The sequence below is a fragment of the Homo sapiens genome, chromosome 4 (genome assembly GCF_000001405.40).
Source record: "Homo sapiens chromosome 4, GRCh38.p14 Primary Assembly".
In the NCBI taxonomy this organism is placed as follows: domain Eukaryota; kingdom Metazoa; phylum Chordata; class Mammalia; order Primates; family Hominidae; genus Homo; species Homo sapiens.
In genome coordinates, this window is record NC_000004.12 from 101,314,267 (window position 1) to 101,336,906 (window position 22,640).

Consider the following 22,640-nt stretch of genomic DNA (forward strand, 5'->3'; position numbering starts at 1 on the left):
TAAATTATCAAATTTCAATTAAGATGTTACTAATCAAGTTACCAAAAAATTTAATTTTCAGGCCGAGGCAGGCGGATCATGAGGTCAGGAGATCAAGACCATCCTGGCTAACATGGTGAAACCCCGTCTCTACTAAAATACAAAAAAATTAGCTGGGCATGGTGGCGGGCACCTGTAGTCCCAGCTACTCCGGAGGCTGAGGCAGGAGAATGGCATGAACCTGGGAGGCGGAGCTTGCAGTGAGCAGAGATCGCGCCACTGCACTCCAGCCTGGGTGACAGAGCAAGACTCCATCTCAAAACCAAAAAAAAAAAAAAAAAAAAAAAGATTTAATTTTCAAAATGGTAACTCTTACTTGTTGCTCTGCTGTAAAAACTATAAATAATGGCAATACCTCTCACTCCATCTGATCTTAAATAATTTAATGAAAAATATCTACCAATATATTTCTAAGAAAATAAAAGTAATCCCTATGAGATATTTTTGACATTTTTTTCAATTGAACTAGAGAAAGAAAAATGGAAACAAAGTATAAAAATTCTTCTGTTTCTTCAAATTATCTGAATGGCTACCTTCCTTCATTATAAGGGTAACTGCTTCTTAATTTCTTCTTTTATAAAAATCACTTCGCAGAAGAACAACATATTTCATTTGTATTTTTTCAAAACATGATTCAAAACAACAGCTCTTGGTTTTATAATTTTTTCATTAAATACAACAGTCCTACTTACAGAAATCTTAACATCTGGATATTTGTGCTCCCCCCAAAATTCACATGTTGAAACTTAATACTCAATCTGATCGTATTAAGAGATGGGGCCTTTGGGACATGATTGAGTCATGAGGGCTGAGTCCTCCTACATGGGATTCACGTCTTTAAAAAAGAGGCCCAAGGCATCTTGTTTACTCCTTCCACCATGTGAAGTTACAATGAAAAGACACACATCTATGAAGGAAATAGGCTCTCATCAGAATCTGCCCATGCTGGCACCCTGACTTCCCAGCCTCCAGAACTGTGAGAGATAAACTGTTGTTGTTTATAAACCATCTAATCTAAGGCATTTTGTTAGAGCAACCCAAATGAACTAAGACACAGTACAACCCCAGTTTTATAAAAAAGTAAACTGAGGCTCAATAAGGTAAAATAACTTGCCCAAGATCACATAATCAGTAAAATTCAAAGTCAGATTCATGCTCTTTCCCCCATGCATATTTTGCTGTTTCTCATTATTCACTGACATTGACATGTGGGAATCAGAATCTCTCATTCAAGACGCAGAAATATGCCCAAAAGAATAAAGCCAATAAAGTATACAAGAAAGGTCCTATTCACTGAGAATGGTATCTGCTAGAATTTAATTCAGCTGTATATGACAAACCCAAAATAACAATGACTTAAATAAGATAGAAGCTCAGTTCCCGCTCACAGAAATTAAGTCAAAGTGGGTAATCTAGCCTATAGTTTGGCAATTCCACAAAGTCATCAAGGATTTGGACTACTCCATGCAGGCATGTCCCAGGAACAGAATACAGTCATGGGTTCGTAGTTTTGGTTTCTGGTTGGGCCAGTACAGCCCCTTCCTCACCCCCTTTTCTGCTCATCACTAGAAACATAAACTAAAAACCATGGTTTCGGACTGCTGAAAACCTAAAACAAAGCAAAACAACAAAATAAGGCTGGTTGCTTGCCTAGTATGAATCTTATCCTCAAGGTCTAAAATGGCTGCCAGAGCTCCAGCCATCAATTCTATGTTCTAGGAAGCAGGGTAAGAAACATTTAAGGATACATCTCAAAAGTAACATTCAGCACTTCAACATCTGCCCAGGAAAAGAACTTATCACACAGACTCACGTGACTACAAAGGAATCTACAAAATGTAGGTTTTTCTGGCTGGGTGGCAATGTGTTGAGCTAAAAATCAGAGTTGTGTTATTACTAAAACATAAGGTAAAAATGAGTATTTGGAGGCAACTAGATGAACTTGCCACAGGAATTTGCATATATTCTCCAATTTATTCATAATATAATCAAATTTTTCAAGCAAATCAAAGATAATTGAAGTTGACATATCCAGAGTTATTTCTTAGGGAGGCTATAATACCCCATTGGAATCATCTCATTATAAGCAATCAAATAAGTAAATGTGGTTTTACATTTTAGGAAACTATTTTCAACATTTACATTATAAAGAATTACTGTTTCTGTCAGACAAACTCGGGTGGGATTTGTTTTATAAATACTAATGTTTTCCCAAGGTTAGAATACAGGGAGTTGGTTTAGGTAAAGCTAAGTTCTGCCAGTAGAAGTGCCACTAAGTTTAAAGGGATATTTATCATCTAAAATTATTCTTATATCCAAAAGTTATGAACAAATAGCCAAATAGAGAATCCAGAAGAAAATGCAAATATTGATAAGCAATCAAATCTGAGAGTTGCCTGAATAGCTAGGTCCAACTATTTATAGAGATCTACAACTATCCTCCAATGTGTTATTGCTAAGTTAGTATTTTAAAACACTATCAGATAATTGGTACATCTGTAAGTTGAATGTAGTAAGAGGGCCTTCTTGGCTGTGCTTTCACTTATAAGTCAGTCTTTTCTTCTGGAAGTCAGTCTTATAGTAAAGCATTTGAGAAAAACATGAACATGACTTCAAAAGCACTAATGAAGAAAGTACATTTCTTACAAAATCTTCTTGGGAAGATAGAGGAAGGAGTCATTTCACATACACAGAGTAAACATACTTAAAATTTTCTATAAGTATTTTTCCCCAATATTCCATTCCCTATGGCATTTACCTCCCCACTTCACTCTCCTATCTATCTCCTCTCTCAAAAACCTTCCCGGCTTCCCACATCATTTTCCACAATCTATCTGGCTGCATTCAGCTAGACAAAGCCAGACAAGCAGTCCACAGCAAAAGAAAACCAGACCATTTGTGTCATCCCTTCAACATGGTCTTGGAGGCCCCTTAACTCGGTACTCCCAACACACACACACACACACACACACACACACACACTCACACACACTGCCCTAAATTTCTCCAATAGTAAAGTGATACAATTTCTAATAATTCAATCTATTCATATAATCAAGACAGCAAAATGTTTCCTTCCATTTTACATACTTGTAAAAATAAACGAAGTTCCTTATCTCCCCATAATCTTTAATGCAAGACTAAACATTCCCAGTATCTAAAAATTCTTTATCTGGTTGTATTCTATGTGTTTTAGTATATTTTATCATTCTTTAAATTTACACAGATTTCCAAAGATCATGATTAAGAGGCTCGAAATTAAACACAGAAATAATGTCATATCAAAACATATTTGCTGTAACAATATTACTTGTCATACCAAAAACTACTCGGCTACTGACAATACTATTTTTCCACTTTTTTCAAAATCAGAGAACACTATTTAATAAACTGGACTTTTGTGGACTTGGTCTACTTGATCCACTTGATGAAAGTCTCAACAATCTTTCAGTCTTTTGAGAAGCACATTGTTTAATGGTTAAACAGTGGGCTCTGAAACCGATGGTCACTGGTTGACATCCTAGTATCACCACTTACCAACTGTGCAATCATGGGCAAGCTGCGCACTGTGACTCAAGTCCCTTCTTCTGTAAACTGGAAAAACAACAATATCTACCTCTTGGAGTTGCCCTCGGTATTTAAAAAATTATTATGTGAAAAGTAGGTTGAGATAGTACCAGATAAATGTAATCACTCAACAAATATTGTCTATTATTATTTCTCACTTCTCTTAAAAAATAGTTGTAGTGTAGTAAACAACGTATCAAAACAATTTGGTAATATAAATTGCCCACTCAAAATGATAGCATGTTCACATGCATGCTTTTGAACACTGGAGTTGTATTTTTAAGAAATATTCAGAAAAAATTTAAACCACAGAATGATATAAAAAAAGTTCACTACTGAAATAATCTACTAACATCTGTTCATAAAAGGCCTAGACTCAGAAAACCCCAGTGCCAATTAAATTATTCCTTTTAAACTGAGTTCATAGCATACTTAAAAGGAACTTCAGCTATTAAATTCCTTTTAGAAAGTAAAAATGACTTTCCCATGAAAGGAAACACAAAGAAACGTGTATTTTTCCTTGAATAATGAAATATTTTATAAAGAAATCACAGAAGTGGTAAGCAAACTAGGCTTCATTAATGATGTGCTTAGATTTCAGCCAAATTGATAGGCATCATACTTACCACCTAACAAATAATACATTAACTTATGAATCATGAAGTATTAAATTATATTGTTAGAATTGTGTATCTGTGTGGTATTGTGGTAACTGCTCTGTTTGTATATCCAGTATATAGTACAAGCATAAAAGTATGCAGTAGATACTAAGAACAAAAATATAATCAATGGCTTCCAATAAGAGTCATTAAAGTTTTCATTTGTACCTAAGGAAGAGATTCAGGTTTCATAGGTTCTTAAAGTTGGGGTCCAAAACCTTATGCTTGAGTCTAACTTGATAGTCAGCATTCTGTTTTCAATATGAACATTAAACTCGCTATCAAGAGAATTCTAATAGCTCAAAGTTCTGCCCATTACACATTACCACTCATATTTAACTTTGCACAAAAGGATCTAGAATCTAAGAAACGTGCAATGATAGCTTGGAGATTCCCACTTCTTTCAAACTCTCTATATTCTTAAATTCTTCTACACAGGTTTGCTCTTCTCAATGTAGGATAGCTCCATTTCTGCTGGACAAGCAATCTCTCAACTAAAGTTATTTTTAAAAATTAAATTAGCAATGAATGAGAACATAATGAAGACAAATATTATTTTAAAAGCAGGCAGCCACTTAGAAAATTTATTAAAATTTACTGGGCTCTTAAACGTGAAGAATTCTGAGTTATACCATATTGAAAAAAAAAAAAAAAGCCTGGCTTTAAAAAGGAAGAACAGAGAGTTTATTCATTCAGTAATGTATACCCAAAAAAGAATGAAAGTTAAACGGCATTATTACTTTTAAAAACTCTTACTATACTATTTACAAAGTGACTAAGTTTTATTTTAACCTATTGATTTGTGGCATGTTTCCATGGAAAGGCTACAAATTAGTGGAAGTGTCCAATTAAAGGTTCACTCACATTCTTAAGCATATGTTTAGGATTCAATAATTTAAATAAATTTTTAGAACTATAAATTCTGTAATCTAATGTTATTCAAGAGTACCCAAAACTTTCACATTACAAGCCATGCTACTTAATTAAAGCAAACTAAAAATACTCCTTTACGACTAAATCATCAATTTCAAATGGGCAGATTAGATGATATGAAATTGGCAGTACTTCCATAATAGCAGTTCATTCCTTTCAATAAGAATCAGGTTAATGGAGAAAAAGAAATCTCACAAATCAGTTAAAAAATTGAGGTAAGAATTTATTCAGGGATATTTAGAAGATGTTTTAGAACAGAAGTATAATGGTATCAATTGATGAAAACTGTTTAAATATCCAAGGGATAAACTTATATCAAGAAACCTATTTTAAATACAAAATAAATAGCATACTAAGAGTGATAAAGAAGACCCAGCAAAAACTCTTAAGTACAATTGGCTTTGTGGTATCATATATTATTAAGCAGACTACGTCATGTACATGTAGCCTTATACCTGAATTTCATCTCAAAGATAGCACCAGCTTTCTAGGATAATTTTGAAGACTATATAAGATATTGTGTATACCTGAATTTCTTCTACCCAATCCCCAATTTCCATACGAGTCAGTGAATAGAGGGACAACAAGCCAAAATATTAACAAGGATCATCAACTCTAAAAACAAAACAGTATCAGGTAATATTATTCTATCTTATAGAAACAACTAAGAATTCACACATGCACACGCGTGTACATGTACTCACACACACACACACAGAATCTGTAGTGAATTTTTTTTTTATTTCAAGAAGTAGCCTATTCAAAACTGTGATTTTAAGTTTATATTTGAGATTAGGCATTAGCATTAGGGAGGCATTCCCTATAAGCTGCCCAAAAACAACTAACATAAAATGTAATCAATTAAAATTAATTGTTTACTTGCATTGTTACTAAAACAGTATTATGTACTAAAGGAAGATTTTTCAAAATGGATCAGCATAGCTATGGCATAGCTTGAATGGTACACACACATACACAAAACCACTCATATGTATGTATGTATGTATGTATGTGTGTGTGTGTGTGTATACACACACACACACACACATACACAGACAATATGTCAATGTTTCCTCCAGTGGAGGGCGGAGGGGCTTGGATTCCAGGTGATTGGTCATGTTTCTTAGAAAGAAATAACCTTCATATAGAAAGAAACAATGCTTCTGGCTAAAAACCTTGCCTAAAACATGACATACAGCTATTCCTTCATTCCAAACTTGAGTTAAACAAGCAATGTTTCAATGTATAATTAAGCTGTCATTAGCTGGCAAACAGGCTGGCCTAACAAACCTGGACACATTGCCTGATCCAGGAGTAGGCATATGATCCGTTCAGAATCTTCGGGAGAGATTATATGATTCTGATGGATACCATGTCAGGCTTATTCTGAGATCTTTGTGAAAAGATCTCAGGTATTATTCTGAGATCCAGGTTAAATCCGGATCTACAAGATGGGTATTGTTGCTCCAGCATAAAAAAATGACTACAGGGCAGTGAAGCCACCTAAGAGGAAAGCATCACAGAGAGGTAAAGACAAGAAAAACATTGATGTTTGTGTATGTGCTTAAAGTCAAATCTAACCCTTGCACTTTCACTTACAAGACAAAGTATTTTTGGCAGGATTTAAGCTATTTTCTATCAAAAGACATGATTTGTGCTTCTATGTCCACCAGTGATCTGTGAGATCGAAAACTGTGATTCCATTTTCTCACCTACATTTTATAGATATAATGCTTATAAACAAACTCAAGGATAGATCTACAGAGGTAAACATGTCCATACACATATATTTTATATAAATTAACCCAAAATAAAAAGTAGAAACAGAAGTCCTCTGGTATAGCCGACTTACAGAACTACATTATTTAAAAAAACAGATATAGTTCAGAAACCACATATATTTGAAGAAACAAAGAAAAGAGCATTTCAGTGTTGGGTGTTACTGCAGCATGCAATATTACATCACTAAAACAATGAAAAGCAATCCTTGCCCTCAAGGCTTAAAAAATATTAGCAGAGACCAAAAAGTCTATCAGATGAGAATGAATGTCATTCCATCTTCGGTAATGACAATAAAATTTTTGTTTTTATTTTTTCCTTTAAATTTTCTTCCCCCAAAAGCTATCTATAAAAGGACTAGGGAGCAGGATTCACTTGTTGTTGTCATCTGGCATAAAACAAGGGAACCCTTCCAGGCATACCGAGTACCAGTGAATAAGCCTCCAAGATGGGAATAACAAATGAAGAAAAAGGCAAAGAGCTTGGTACTACGGCTGCACAAAGGTTCAAAACTAAGAGCAATAAAATTTTATGCAGAAACAAGAAAAATCTGAAGAGTCAAATGGTAGAGTGCAAGTGCCAAGAGAAAGGTGTTTTTAATAGCAGTACTCTGTGAAGAAAGAGGAAAAACAAGCCGACCAAAAAGGTGGCTGTTGCAACAGAGGATGTCTTCACTGCAAAGACCATTTATAGTCATTTTCCCTACAGAAGGTTGGCCCTTTCCCTCAACTCCAATTAAGAATAAGAAATCCTTGTTTCATTTGTCCTTTAACACTTCTGCCCCAGAACCCTTGTCAAATGAGCTCTTTTGAACATATTTAGGCTTTCTGGTTAAATGTTAGAGAAATAACAGTCACTCTCTTCACATAGCAATTTTTTCTATGCCAACAAAAACATGCCTAATCTTACCCATAAAAAATAGATAGCACAGTCTATTCGAAAATGCATGAAAATCACTACCGCTCTGGTCTAAATGTTATGTCTCCACAAAATTCATATGGTGAAATCCTAACCATCATCTTGGAAAATGATGGCATTAAGAGATACAGCCTTTGGGGTATGATTAGGTCATGAGGCCAGACACTCATGAACGAGATTAGGAAGTGCCCTTAAAACACAGCTAGAAAGTAGGCTCTCACCAAACACCACTAAATCTACTGACATCTTTTTTTTTTTTTTTTTTTGAGACCAGAGTCCCACTCTGTCACCCAGGCTGGAGTGCAATGGTGCAATCTCAGCTCACTACAACCTCTGCCTCCCGGGTTCAAGCGATTCTCGTGCCTCAGCCTCCCAAGTAGCTGGGATTACAGATGTGCACTAAACACCCGGCTAATTTTTGTATTTTTAGAAGAGACCGGGTTTCACCATGCTGGCCAGGCTGGTCTCGAACTCCTGACCTCAGGTGATCCGTCCGACCCAGCCTCCCAAAGAGCTGGGATTAAAGACGTGAGCCAACTGCACTTGGCCTCTACTTACATCTTGATCTAAAGATGCAGCCTTTGCATCCTCAGGAACTATGAGAAATAAATTTTTGTTTACAAGCCATCCAGCTTACGGTATTTTTGTTATAGTAGCCTGAATGAACTAAGACAACTGTGAAAAAAAGGTAATATTTAGTTAATATCACAATTTTGAAGAGACATAAAAATAGACACAAAAATATCTTACTGTAGAATAATATTTACTGTTGCTGTTTTTTGCTACACTCAGCATATATATGTGTGTATATATGTATCAATGTATTTAATTAATGAGAACAGCATTAAAATAAGTAAAAATAGAGCATGTATTTCTCATTAGAGCACTAAAATCTTCACACTTCAGCCATTTCATCTTCTGGGAAATAAATGCACTGGGCTAACATGTAGTCTTTAGGGTCCCTTGAAGGGCCCACATTTGACAGTTCTAGTATTCCTATTGCTCCATTCCTCCCTTGCTTGCCCTCTAACTTGCCTGCCCCATTTCCTCCATGCCTGAACTGAACACCTGTAGGTGTTCCTCAAATAGAGCGAAACTATAAAATGCTACTAATCTAATGAATTGTTTTTAAAATACTCAACTGTGCTACTATAGGGCTTTGGGGAAGGCAATTATTTTAAAGACTAAAATTTGGATTTATTCAGCGACTCTTATGGAAGGAATCTGAAATACTTCAACAAGCTAAGGTTAACTGTGTACGTGTGATGAGTGTTACTTGCTCCCTCTTCAGTCAAGGATGGACTGATTAACCCACTTCCCAATGTAATGAGGAGTAAATGGCGTCAGAATATATTTCTGAATGCCTTCTATCCCTGCTCAAATCAGGAATCCAATTTCCCTGATCAAAAATCCTATTTTAACCTAAATAATCTCTCAGATGTTGAAACCATTAGGTTAAGAGTCTATGCTTTCATATATAAGCCACCCTTTCTCTTTGAGGTAGGGAAATATTTAATAACAGTAATTATATCAGCAAATACTTATATAGCACTTAGTATGTGTCTAACCTTCTAACTACTGTATGCATATATTAATTCATTTAATCCCCATAACAACTCTATAGGTAGCTGCTATTACCGTGTTTTAATGACAAGAAAATGGAGGCACAAGGCCGGGCATGGTGGCTCATGCCTCCCAGCACTTTGGGAGGCCAAGGCAGGCAGATCACTTGAGGTCAGGAGTTCAAGATCAGCCAGGCTGGCCAACATGGTGAAACCTGGTCTCTACTAACAACACAAAAATTAGCCAGGAGTGGTGGCACACACTTGTAATCCCAGCTACTCAGAAGGCTGAGGCACAAGAATCACTTGAACCTGGGAGGCAGAGGTTGCAGTGAGATCGCACCACTGCACTCCAGCCTGGGTGACAGAGTGAGACAAAAGAAAGAAAGAAAAGAAAAGAAAGGAAGGGAAGGAAGGGAAGGAAGGGAGGGAGGAAGGAAGGAAGGAAGGAAGGAAGGAAGGAAGGAAGGAAGGAAGGAAGGAAGGAAGGAAGGAAGGAAAGGAGGGAAGGGAGGGAGGGAAGGAAACGAAACAGAGGCACATAATTAACTTGACCATGGCAACAGGGCAAATAAGCAGCAGAGCCAGGATTCAATGCAGGTAGTCTGGCTCCAGACCACTCCACCATATGCAACTAAAGGTAAGGAGCACATAGAAACTCCATTTCTCCCCACTGTTCCAGTTCCCTTTTGCTATTTCATTCTTTTGACTGCTTTTACTGAGTACTCACTAAATGCAGCTAAACGAACAAAGTATGTGCCTGGAACTAAATTCACTAACTTAAAGAAAATCAAGCAGCCATGCACAAACAGAAGAACATTTAAAAAAAATTAAAATACTTAGAATCCTATCCAGTGTAATGATGCGAATTTATTTAACAATTCTTGGTCCAGTTTTTGTCCATTTGGTATTCCATATCTCCCTGCCTCCCTCAGTGTAACTCTTCACTTGAAGGAAAGAATGGAACAACAAAAAAAAAAAAGACAATAAACTTTGGGGGCACTTTCATTCCCTACTGCCAAGTGAGGTAAGAACAATGAAGAAGTTCAGTCTTGCAAAAAAGGAAATTATTTTTTATGCCATCAGGAGCCAATTACCGACACAAGACTAAGTATAAGCCCGGAATTTCTTCCATCTTTGACTCTCATTTGGCATCATTTTCAATATATGATTTACAAGTTGAAATGTTCTCTTCAGTGTTAAGAAGCTGGAACAGAACACAAAGATACTCTACTCCTATAAAACTAGTGCATGTTAAAGCATGGCCAAACTTAAGAATCACTTGGGATGCTTGAAAAACAACAATAACAATACTAAGGTCTCATTTAGAGAATCTAATTTTTTTTAAAGGGGGAGGAAAGGAAAAAGATGCTGGAGGCTTACCTAGATAGTCTAATTTAATTGTTCAGGGACAGTGCTGGGCATTGGTAGCTTTAAAAGTTTTCCAAGTGATTGTAATGTGTGACCATGCTTGCAAGGCTGTTTAAATGCAACCCAAACCTTCTCAAACTTTAATATACATATAAATCACCTAAAGACCTAATTTAAAATGCAGATTCTGATTCAAAAGGTAGGGCCTGAAATTCTGTATTTCTACCATGCTTCCAGGCAATGCTGATGCTACTGTTATGTGGACCACACTTTTGAGTAGCACTGTTCTATACATTCCTTAACAAATCATAATTACTAAAGGTAAGGAATGGAAAAGATACCACAAGTCAAAGCAATGTGGAATATTTCATTTTTATGTAAAAGAGGTAACTGTTTTCAACAAGCAACTGGAACCCACAATAAATGATTACAGAACACAGGGCTACTGTTAACTAAATGAGTTAATATGCATAAAATATGAGGGACTGTTCCTAACCCAGAGTCAGTACTCAATAAATATTAGTTATTGCATTGATCTTTTTTTAACAAATGAGTGGCAAATGACGGCTAACCATATCAAGAAAACTCAATGCAGATATATAACTTATGTTGTAGAAAAAATATGGCTTCTACTGCTCACAGTCTTCATATTGTGTCATGCTCTTTTATACCTTAGGCCATCAGGTACAGAATTCTAAACACTAGCCTCACAGTTAAAATGTGCGCATTCATTAACATGATGTCTGGGATCGGCTTTAAAATACTTTGGCAAAGAAAAAAGAAGAGTAATCCTAGCACTTTGGGGGGCTGAGGTTAGGCGGATCACTTGAGGTCAGGAGTTCGAGACCAGCCTGACCAACATGGCAAAACCCTATCTCTAATAAAAATAAAAACATTAGCCAGGTGGGGTCGCATGTGCCTGTAGTCCCAGCTACTCAGAAGGCTGAAGCAGAATTACTTGAACCGAGGAGGCAGAGGTTGCAGTGAGCCGAGACTGCACCAATGCACGCCAGCATGGGCGACAGAGTGAGACTCTGTCTCCAAAAAAGGAAGGAGGGAATAAAGGAAATGTAATAAAATCTCCATAAGTAATCTATGGGATAGGTATATGTGGGTTAACTGTCCTCCTAACTCCTACATATATCTGACATTTTTTCAAAATAATTTTTAAATGTTCTGTTTTTCAATTCCAGCTTGATCACTTACTAGCTCTCTGATCATGAGAAAATTATTTAGCATCTTTGATTCACAGACTTCAGAACAGATTTCCATATTAACCTCCTCACAGGATTACCTTAGGGATTAAAAGAAACAGTAAAAATAACTGACACCAAGTAGGTCACATCATAATGATAAATTTAATTTTAATCCAAATAGCTCCAATTTTAAGAGAAGCAAAAAGAATGGTAATGTGTTTCTAAAATGCAAACAGGTGAATCTTAAAGACTGAAGAGTGCCATCTTCTTGCCATTTCAGCTTTTTCTACTGCCTCTTAACATTCTAGACTAGATTCCATCACAAACAGCAACAGGTAGCATTTAATGAAGTCTCCAAAATGCCGTGTCCTGAAATAAATGCATCAAAATGTTTCTTGCATGACAACACAAATCAACTAAGGGTAGCCTACAGACAAACACCACTTCTAGCTGCTATACTATTCTCTGGTCTACAAGTAACATAAGCTTTTCCTCCCACTCACTCCCTTCATTTACAAACATCTCTGAACAAGTAGCTGGGGATAACAATTCAAGAGAAAAGAAACCTCTTAAATATAGGCTAAATAATCAAAAGCAAAAGATCCCTTCTGGGGCTAGCTCTTCACAGGACAGAAGTTCAAATATGAATAGGCAGTATCTATCTGCCTATTCTGAGGCATAACTACAAAAGCATTTTAAAATATACATTATTGTGATAATTCCACCATTCTTGAAATAAACCAAATCACTCACAAAATCTCACTGTCGGAAACCTTGTGAAGAAGAAAAGAGGTAGACTTTCATCCATGTGGTCACAATATACAGCTCAGCATAAGAGTGAAAGGGAAATAATTATTTAAAATAGTGAATGTACAGAAAATAATTTACGCACATTTCCATTTTTTAAGAATATGGAGAACAGTCTTACTTCTGTCCAAGACAATTGAAGTCTAATCAAATATTGTGACTGAACCAAATATTGTGACTGAATGGGATTCCAGTTTGCCTCTCTTCCATAAGAAAAAATTCTAAAACCTGGAATCTACTACAAATATGTTAACCTCTCTCATTAGCTCAAGGAAGAACAAAAACAGTGAACTTAGAAGCTGTATTTACTAGGGGAATTCCCAAAAGAAGAGCTCTCATAATCTTCTACTTTAAAATTTCACTCATAAGACACAAATTAAATCCACATTTGTGGGAGAAAAAAAAAAAAGACAAACAAAAAATCCAAGCATGTTTCTTACATATTTTCTCACTTGGTTCCCATGTACTACCACTGGAATGTTTAATCACTGGTTATTTTACTTTGATATTCCTATTTGAATACAGACTTACCTGATATTTTTTCTATACTTATAACATTCAAATTAGCTGTATATGTATTATAAATGTTGGGCATAATGACAACTCAGCATCAATTTCCTTATAAAGTAGAGGTTATTTCAGGCTAGCTTCAGAACTGAAATAAACACACACAGCAGGAAAGTTGTAATGCATATTTTGTTTTTTCAGGCCATGAAAACCCTTACATTTCAATAAATATATATTAACAAAATGAGAACTGTCAACAAAACACTCTAGTTGTATGAACGTTACTCAAATTTTTCATCTACATGGTACTGGACACCTTTCATAAACAACAACCAAAAAAAATATATTTGAAGTTCAGGGTCCACAAAAATATCACCAGGGAAAAAAAGAAGAAAAAGAAAATATGAACCTAAGCTGATTCCAGCAGGAAGAAATTTTCCCACATGCAGAGGTATTCACCATGAAGCAAGAGATGGTAAGAGGCCTCCGTGTGAAATTGGAGCTCCCCGAATTTACAGACCCAGGAAATCAGGGCAGGGTGTTAAATCTTCTCTTACACCTAAACCTATGACCTGCAACTACCTCAACCACAGAATTTCTCAAAGTGAATCAAACAAGGTTCAGTTGGATTCAAAATGCGTTTATGAATCACAAGAACAAACAACTGTCTCCAATCACCTGCCTCAGGAGAAGCACTAAAATTCTCAATCACCATCTTTTCTTTCAAACAATTTAAGAATTGTATAACTAGGCTAACCCTAAACATTCATCATAGTACAAGAATAGTTAAAAGTAGTAAATGAAAAATTCTGATCTCAAAACAATTCACATTTGCATCTAAAATGTTACAATGAAACCACATAACTCCCTCCTCAAAATGTTTCATGTGACGTCTCCTTGAAGTGGCTTTCACTTTAGCTATGTGTGGCTTCCTTTATTTGCTTCAGCAACAAAAATATGAAAATGAATACAGGCATACCTCACTTATTGTGTTTTGCCTCACTGCACTTTGCAGGTATTACATTTTTTACAAATTGAAGATTTATAGCAATTCTGTCACAAGCAAGTCTAGCGGTGCCATTTTTCCATCAGCATGTGCTCACTTTGTGTCTCTTGTGACATTTTGGTAATTCTCACAATATTTCAAACTTTTTCATTATTATTGTATGTTATGGTAATCTGTGATCCATGGTTTTGTATGTTACTATTGTAATTGTTTTAAAGCACCTCATGTCACACCGATATAAGACAACAAATTTAACAAATAAATGTGTGTACTCTGACTGCTGTGCTGACCAGTCATTTACCCATCTCTCTCTGTCTCTCCTTGGGCCTCCCTACTCCCTGAGACAAAATAATATTGAAAATGAGGCTTATTAATAACCCTAAAATGGTCTCTAACTGTTCAAGTGAAAAGTTGCACATGTTTCACTTTAAATCAAAAGGTAGAAATGATTAAGTTTATCATGCAAGGCATATCAAAAGTGGAGACAGGCCCAAAGCTAGGCCTCTTGCGCCAAACATCCAAGTTGTGAATGCAAAGGAAAAGTTCTTCAAAGAAATTAAAGGTGCTACCTAGTGAACACACAAATGATAAGAAAGCTAAAGAGCCTAATGCCAATATAAGAAAAGTTTTTGTGGTCTGGATAGATCAAACCAATCACAAAATTCTCTTAAGCCAACACCTAATCAGCAGCCAAGACCCTAACTCTCTTCAATTCCATGAAGGCTGAGAGAGGTGAGGAAGCTGCAGAGAAAAAGTTGGAAATTAGCAGAAGTTGGTTCATGACATTTAAGGCAAAAAGCCATCTCCACAACATAAAAATGCAAAGTGAAGCAGCAAATTTTAATGTAGAAGCTACAGCAAGTTATCCAGGAGACCTTGCTTAAGATCATTAATGAAGGCGGCTACACTCAATAACAAATTTTCAATAGGGATGAAACAGCCTTCTATTGGAAGAAGATGCTGCCTAGGACTTTCACAGCTAGAGAGGGGAAGTGAACTCTTGGCTTCAAATTTCAAAGGACAGGCTGACTCTCTTTTTAGGGGTTAATGCAGCTGGTAACTTAAGTTGAGGCCCATGCTCATTTACCATTCTGAAAATCCTAAAGCCCTTAAGAATTATGCTAAATCTACTCTGCCTGTGCTCCGTAAGTGGAACAACAAAGCCTGGATAACAGCACATCTGTTTACAGCATTGTTATTGTTTGCTGAATATTTTAAGCTCTTGGCTGAGATTGAGATTTACTGCTCAGGGAAAAAAAAAAAATCCTTTCAAAATATTACTGCTCTTTGCAATGCACCTAGTCATCCAAGAGCTCTGATCTTGTACACAGCACCCATTCTGCAGTCCATGGATCAAGGAGTAATTTAAACTTTCAAATTGTACTATTTAAGAAATATATCTCATAAGACTGTCACTGCCATACATAGTGATTCCTCTAACAGATGTGGACAAAGTACATTGAAAACCTTCTGGAAAGGATTCACCATTCTAGATGCCATTAAGCACATTCATGATTAATGAAAGAGGTCAAAATATCCACATTAACAAGAGTTTGAAATAAACTGACTTTAAGGAATTTAAGCCTTCAGAGGAGGGAGTAACTGCATATGTGGTAGAAATATCAAGAGAACTAGAATTAAAAGTGAATCCTGAAGATAGGACTGACTTGGTGCAATCCCATGATAAAATTTTAATGGATAAGGAGTTGCTTCTCAAGGATGAGCAAAGAAGATAGTTTCTTTAGAATCTAAAAAATCTACTTTCTTTGCTCATCCTTGAGAAGCAACTCAAAGGATTTCCAATACTACATACATTTAGCTGATAAAGCAACAGCCACCCCAAGACACTGACAGTTCAGATGATCATTAGCACAACGGTTATGTATTTTTTAAGTGAAGTATGTACATTGCTTTTTTAAACATAATGCTATTGCACACTTAACAGACTACAGTATAGTGTAAACATAACTTTAACATGCATTGTGAAACCAAAAAATTTGTGTGACTAGCTTTCCTGTGATATTCGCTCTATTGTGGCAGTCTGGAATATCTCCAAACCGACAATATCTCCAAAATATGCCTGTATAAAGCCACAATATCTCTAAAATATGCCTGTATAAAAAGGCAACGTCTACAAAAAAAGGCTAACAGTGTACAATAACTAGCACTACACTTTTTTTTCATAGCCTTAACCTAGGGGAAAAACTTAAGGTCCAATTAAAATGACTTTTTTATGGATCTCATAGTTGGTACTTCTTTTTATGTTTTGGATCGTTTGTGTTATAACACCATAATAAGGTCAATAATGCCAAGAAAAGCATAATTTATGGTCCAGTCCCATTGTTGTGGGCCTCAACTACATATTTCTACAAAGAAGACAAAAATATCTGCCCCACGAAAAGTATTAGATTTTTCTCCCACAGAAAATGCCACAGATGTTCAGCCAAAATGATTTCCAGGAGCAATGATATTTTATATAAAAAGAAATCCCTAATAACAAGTATTTTCTATCAATTCACTGACACCATCTAATATATTTGGCCTCATCTTGCCCTGAAGTTAGTGTTATGGTGGTAAAAGCCCAGGATCTGAGTCACGACTTGGAGTCCAAATACCTGATCTACCACTTACTCACTAGGAAACTTTGCATAAGGTACTTAAAATGAGGTAATATACATGCAAGGCATGGATATTAATGTCATTAAAATTTTTAGAATAGAAGGGAGGACAGGAAGTACTTTGCTTCATTATTCTTGTATAATAAACAGAAATATCTTCCCCAGTCAATTTTTTTGTTGTAAAAAAACAAATGAAGAATAATGTGCCAGGCATTGCACTAAGCACTGGAGAGATCAACTGGATAAGACCCTGCCCCTCAGAGATTTCTCAGTTAATGAAGAAAAAATGTTGCCAACATTTGTGATCCATCGTGCGTACAACAGACAAGTAGCAGCACAGACAGCTGGTAAGGGTTTCAGAGAAGTTTCACACAGGAGAGACAGATTAAAAGTGTTCCATGCAGAGGTAAAGCAAATGAAAAGCATGGAAGGTGTGCTTCAGGTTTTTAAGTCCTTCAGCTCAATCAACTTTTATTATATGCCAAACACAGATAAACAATCAGAATACACATATAAATAAAAAATGTTCTCAGCTCCCAAAAATTTATATTCAAATAAATTGGAGACTTAAAATAAGTTCAGTACAATGTAACATATGCTATATTATAAATATTTTCAGAATTCATGTGATAGGGTCAAATTCCGTAATATACAGAGTTCCTGCAAACCAGTAAAAAAAGGGATCAACCACCAAGTAGGTATCGGCATAATCAAGTGTTCGTTTTAGAAAAATAATCCTAGTGCCAATGTGACAAAACATATGTGTATGCAAGAGAAAAAGGTTGAAAGCAGAGACACTGATGTTGGGAGGCTCCTGCAGCACTAGGTTAGAAGTATTTAAAAGACTTGAACTGAGAGGTATGTTTAATTGACTGGGATGGGTGGTGGTGACATCACCAAGCATAGGAAACACAGGAGAACAGACATCCAACTGTATTTTCACCATACCCATCCACAGCAACTGTTGTATATAGGGTTTGAGAGACAGCTCAAGAGAAAAGTCTAGGTTTCAAATACAGATGTGCCAGTGATCAGCCTACAGGCATTAATCAATCCTGTAAGTGTAAGGACATGAGACTGCCTAGAGAAAGGTATAAAGGAATGAGGGAACATCAACATTTAGGATTCAGTCAAGATGAGATAGCAAAAAGTCAAAAAAGAAGAAATTCATGAAAGCCAATGAGGACAACCTTTCGAGAAAAACAAGGTGACACCTGTCAAATATCACAGAAACCAGCCATTGGACAGCCACTGCCAACCTGCCTCCATGGAATGGTAGGGCCCCCCAAATGACTGTACAACGGATTTGACAGTGGATAGGAGGTGAGGAAGTGTATTACTTTAATGAAAATTACTACTACTTCTACAAGTAAAAAGCATGTCTTTCAAAGGAGCTGTCCAGCAGCAAAATTACAATACCTAACATATATTGGGAACACTTTCTGTGCAGGCACTAAGGCTAGACATTTTACATAATATTCCTCTCGTCGTTACAACAACCTTAAAAAATTAGTATCGTTTCCAAATTTCTGTAAGAAAAATGGGTTCAAGATGGTTACATGACTTGCCCATGGACACACAGTTGGCATATGGAGGACAGAGGATTTAAATACAGATTTTGTCTAGCTGTAAACCAATGCTCTTTCCACACTGTGATGCTGTCTCCCCATCACTGGAAGTATGTGGAGGGAGGCAGAGTGAAGAGTGGCTTGTTAACCATCTAACAGAAATATCTTTTCTTTTTGAAAGACAGCTTAACTAGCTTACGTCTGAGCCCTCTTCCACCTTCAAAAGTCTATGATTCTATCTCATATACCCTGCTCACAAATGAGTTACAATAGCTGCAGAATTTCAAATATAATGCCATCTTCTTTCTTTTTTTTTTTTTTTTTTTGAGGCAGAGTCTCATACTGTTACCCAGGATGGAATGTAACGGCATGATCATGACTCACTGCAGCCTCAACCTCCTGGGCTCAAGCGATCCTCCCACCTCAGCCTCCTGAGCAGCAGCTGGGACTACAGGCATGCACTACCATGCCCAGTTTTTTTTTTTTTTTTTTTTTTTTTTTTTTTTTTTTTTTGTAGAGATGAGGTCTCACTATGATGTCCAGGCTGGTCTCAAATTCCTAGGCTCAAGTCCTCCCACCTCAGCCTCCCAAAGTATTGGGATTACAGGCATGAGCCACTGCACCCGGCCTCAATCTTCATTTTTTTCTCATATTATCAAACTAATTTTAATACCTGCTAAAATTCATACTTAATAGGAAGACAATCTATAATTAAAATCGTCCCTGTTGATTGGAAAGCAAAGACTTATTGACACTGAATTTCCGATGTCTTGTATAGCGCTAGGCACAGAATGGCATTCAGTGTTTTGGAAATGAGTGAATGAATGGTCTGCCTCTTGTCTTTGATAACACTGACTAACATGTTAGGCAGAAACAGGCATCCATCTTTATTTTAAAATAAGCTCAAAGTCATAACACATGGCAATATATGCTACACTTTCCACAAATTCATATTGATTACATTTACTTTTGCAAAAAATGAAAGCACAGTCTATGAAGGCAGCTTATCACTCCCTTTTCTGCATTCCCACAGTAGGATGTAGCCCCTTCTGCTATTAAAGAAAGCAAAACTTATACCGTGATTTCCTTTTGCTTCCCACACTGGACAGTAACCTTCAGATTGCCTACATTATGTTAGACCCCAAGAACACAGTGCAGAGCCACACACGCAGTGGGCACTAAAAGTCTGACACATACGTGAGCAGGATGGGTAGATGGATGGCTTAATAAGTAGAAGCAGTATCTTTTTAACAGCCATTTTACACTCAACCAAATAATCTACTTACCGAGCAGGAGATTATATCATATGGGAAATAAGGACATATAGAAAACCAAGTGACACTTTTTTTTTTTTTGAGGCAGAGTTTCACTCTTGTCGCCCAGGCTTGAGTGCAATGTCGTGATCTCTGCTCACTGCAACCTCCACCTCCCAGGTTCAAGCGATTCTCTTGCCTCAGCCTCCCAAGTAGCTGGGATTACAGGCGCATGACACCACGCACAGCTAATTTTTATATTTTTAGTGGAAATGATTTTTTGCCATGTTGGCCAGGCTGGTCTAAAACTCCTGACCGCAGGAGATCCACCCACCCGGCCTCCCAAAGTGCTGGAATTACAAGTGTGAGCCACCGCGCCCAACCCCCGAGTGACAATTTCAAAGAGGCATGGGATATGGATTTAAAAAGAAGCATGAAAGTTAACTCTCAAAAAGGCTCCTGAATAACAGGATTTTTTTCCTAGATTCAACATTACCCAAAAGGAAAAAAATTTAAATTAGTCAGTTAATTATGTTTTAAATATCAGTTACTTCTGAAATATCTATCAAAAAAGCAATTCTTATCTTAAACAATCATGAAATTTCAGGTATGGTAGTCTCTGGAGATGTGTGAGGAGAGAAGACTTCATAAAGCACTTTGAAGTCACCCCAAATGTGCCTACCTAAATGTTTCAAGATTATTCAATTTACAGACTGGCTAGCAAAGGCACAGTCTCCCATGACAGGTCTCGGCCTTTCTTCCCCCCAGAGATATACATGATATAACATTCACTTCTACGAAACACTAGGATAAACAAATCCAGATTCTAATGAACCACTATAAAAAAAAATGTTCAGGGAAATACACACATATGTAATTTCCACTGTGATTAAAGACTTATCAGTAAGATCAAGCAACTGCAATTTATACAAAATGCCCACCATGACAGTTGCAGCTCCATCCCTTCATGTCAGAATGCAAGTGAAAGTAGCATTTTAGGGTTGAACGTAAATCCACTCTCGTTTATACGTAGATATCTTAAAATAAGTCATCTGCAAACTTCTTTAGGTTATCAGTAGCTGTTAATACCTCACAGCTGAGTTTAACACAACACTGTGTTGACACCATAGTTGGAAGCCACTGGTCTCCTTCATATCTCAGTGAAACTGAAACTAGTTATCAAATTACAACCAATTTTACTACATTTGCCAAATTCAATGGCGTTAGGAGCAGACAATCTTCAAAGATTAGGCACAAGTGAAAGCAAGCAGAAGAGGCAGGTTTGGCTCTGGTCAAGTGAGGTGCTGAGCTAGCTGTCTTTGTGGCATGATTTGAAAAGCAAATAAAGGGGGCATGGCCTGTCTCTCAATAGCCCCACTATCACCACATGGTGCTATGCTTTCATCCTGTCTTTATTACTTGCCTGTATTATAAATGAAAGGTGAGAGCAATGCCTTTAGAAAGTCACTGTTAAAACGCGTCTGCTATCTAGGTTTTACAGACTTCTACTTATAGACCAGATTAGGCGTTTGACAACTTGAAACTGCCTAAGTTCTGGGAAAAAATAACAAGGGAATTTCAATGGGAAAGGCATGAGAACTAAGAGCATCATGACTGGCAATCCTCACCCTCCCAAAGGGTATCTCGGGATGCTAAACTGGGCCCACCTATGAAAGACTTCTGAGTTCCAAGTTGGCATGAGGACACAGAAGGGCAAGCAAGAGTACCAAGGAAGAGAGCACAAGATGCTGGAGGTTCCATGGAAGAAGTCAGTCAAGATCAACCTTTGTTCACTTCTCCATTTTCAAGGGACTCCAATAGACTGACCTGGATTTAAAGGTAGACTCCTAGGATGGAGGAGGACCTAGAAACTGGCCGGGCATGGTGGCTCACACTTGTAATCCCAGCACTTTGGGAGGCCGAGGTGGGTGGATCACCTGAGGTCAGGAGTTCAAGACCAGCCTGGTCAATATGGTGAAACCCCATCTCTACTAAAAATACACACACACACAAAAATTAGCCAGGCATGGTGGCAAATGCCTGTAGTCCCAGCTACTTGGGAGGCTGAGGTGGAAGAATGGCTTGAATCCAGGAGGCGGAGCTTGCAATGAGCCAAGATCACACCACTGGGCTCCAGCCTGGGCAACAAGAGCAAAACTTTGTCCCCCACCTCCAAAAAAAAAGCAAACAAAAACATGCTGGGTGAGGAATAGCTAGAAGACTTAAGAACAAGAAAGCTGGCCGGCCGCAGTGGCTCACGCCTGTAATCCCAGCACTTTGGGAGGCCAAGGCAGGTGGATCACTTGAGGTCAGGAGTTCAAGACCAGCTTGACCAACATAGTGAAACCCATCTCTACTAAAAATACAAAAAAATTAGCCAGGCATGGTGGCGCATGCCTGTAGTCCCAGTTACTGGGGAGACTGAGGCACAAGAATCGTTTGAACTTCAGGAGCCGGAGGTTGCAGTGAGCCAAGATCGTGCCACTGCACTCCAGCCTGGGCAACAGAGTGAAACTGTCTTAAAAAAAAAATGAAAAAAAAAAAAAAAGAAAGCTGTTTTTAATAGCAAATGAGCTCTCTGGAGGCAAACAGGTAAGACTTATTCTATGGAATTCTGTAGGACAATGCTAAGAACAAGTAATATATATTCAAAGCATCAGATTGTAATCAAGAATAAGAAAATATTTCTTCAAAGCAGACTTGTCCAGGATGGAGTGAGAGGTATATGGAATAGGGAGCTGCCTCTCACTAGATGTGTACATGCAGGGGCGGGATTCTATCCATCAGAGAGGCTGGAGAGGGAGTTCCACATTAGAGATAGCCTAAGCTAGAATTCTGGTGTACCTTCCAATTCTGG

General features: G+C 37.2%; 1 protein-coding gene and 1 non-coding gene across 4 annotated transcripts in view; both read right to left on the minus strand.

Moving 5' to 3' along the window:
* Positions 1–22,640, minus strand: part of PPP3CA (protein phosphatase 3 catalytic subunit alpha) — a 324,109-nt gene that overhangs the window by 290,849 nt on the left and 10,620 nt on the right. The gene's annotated exons all lie outside the window — the stretch shown is intronic.
* Positions 16,036–16,148, minus strand: MIR1255A (microRNA 1255a). The gene has a single exon (NR_031656.1). It is a non-coding gene; the product is annotated as a microRNA 1255a (primary transcript).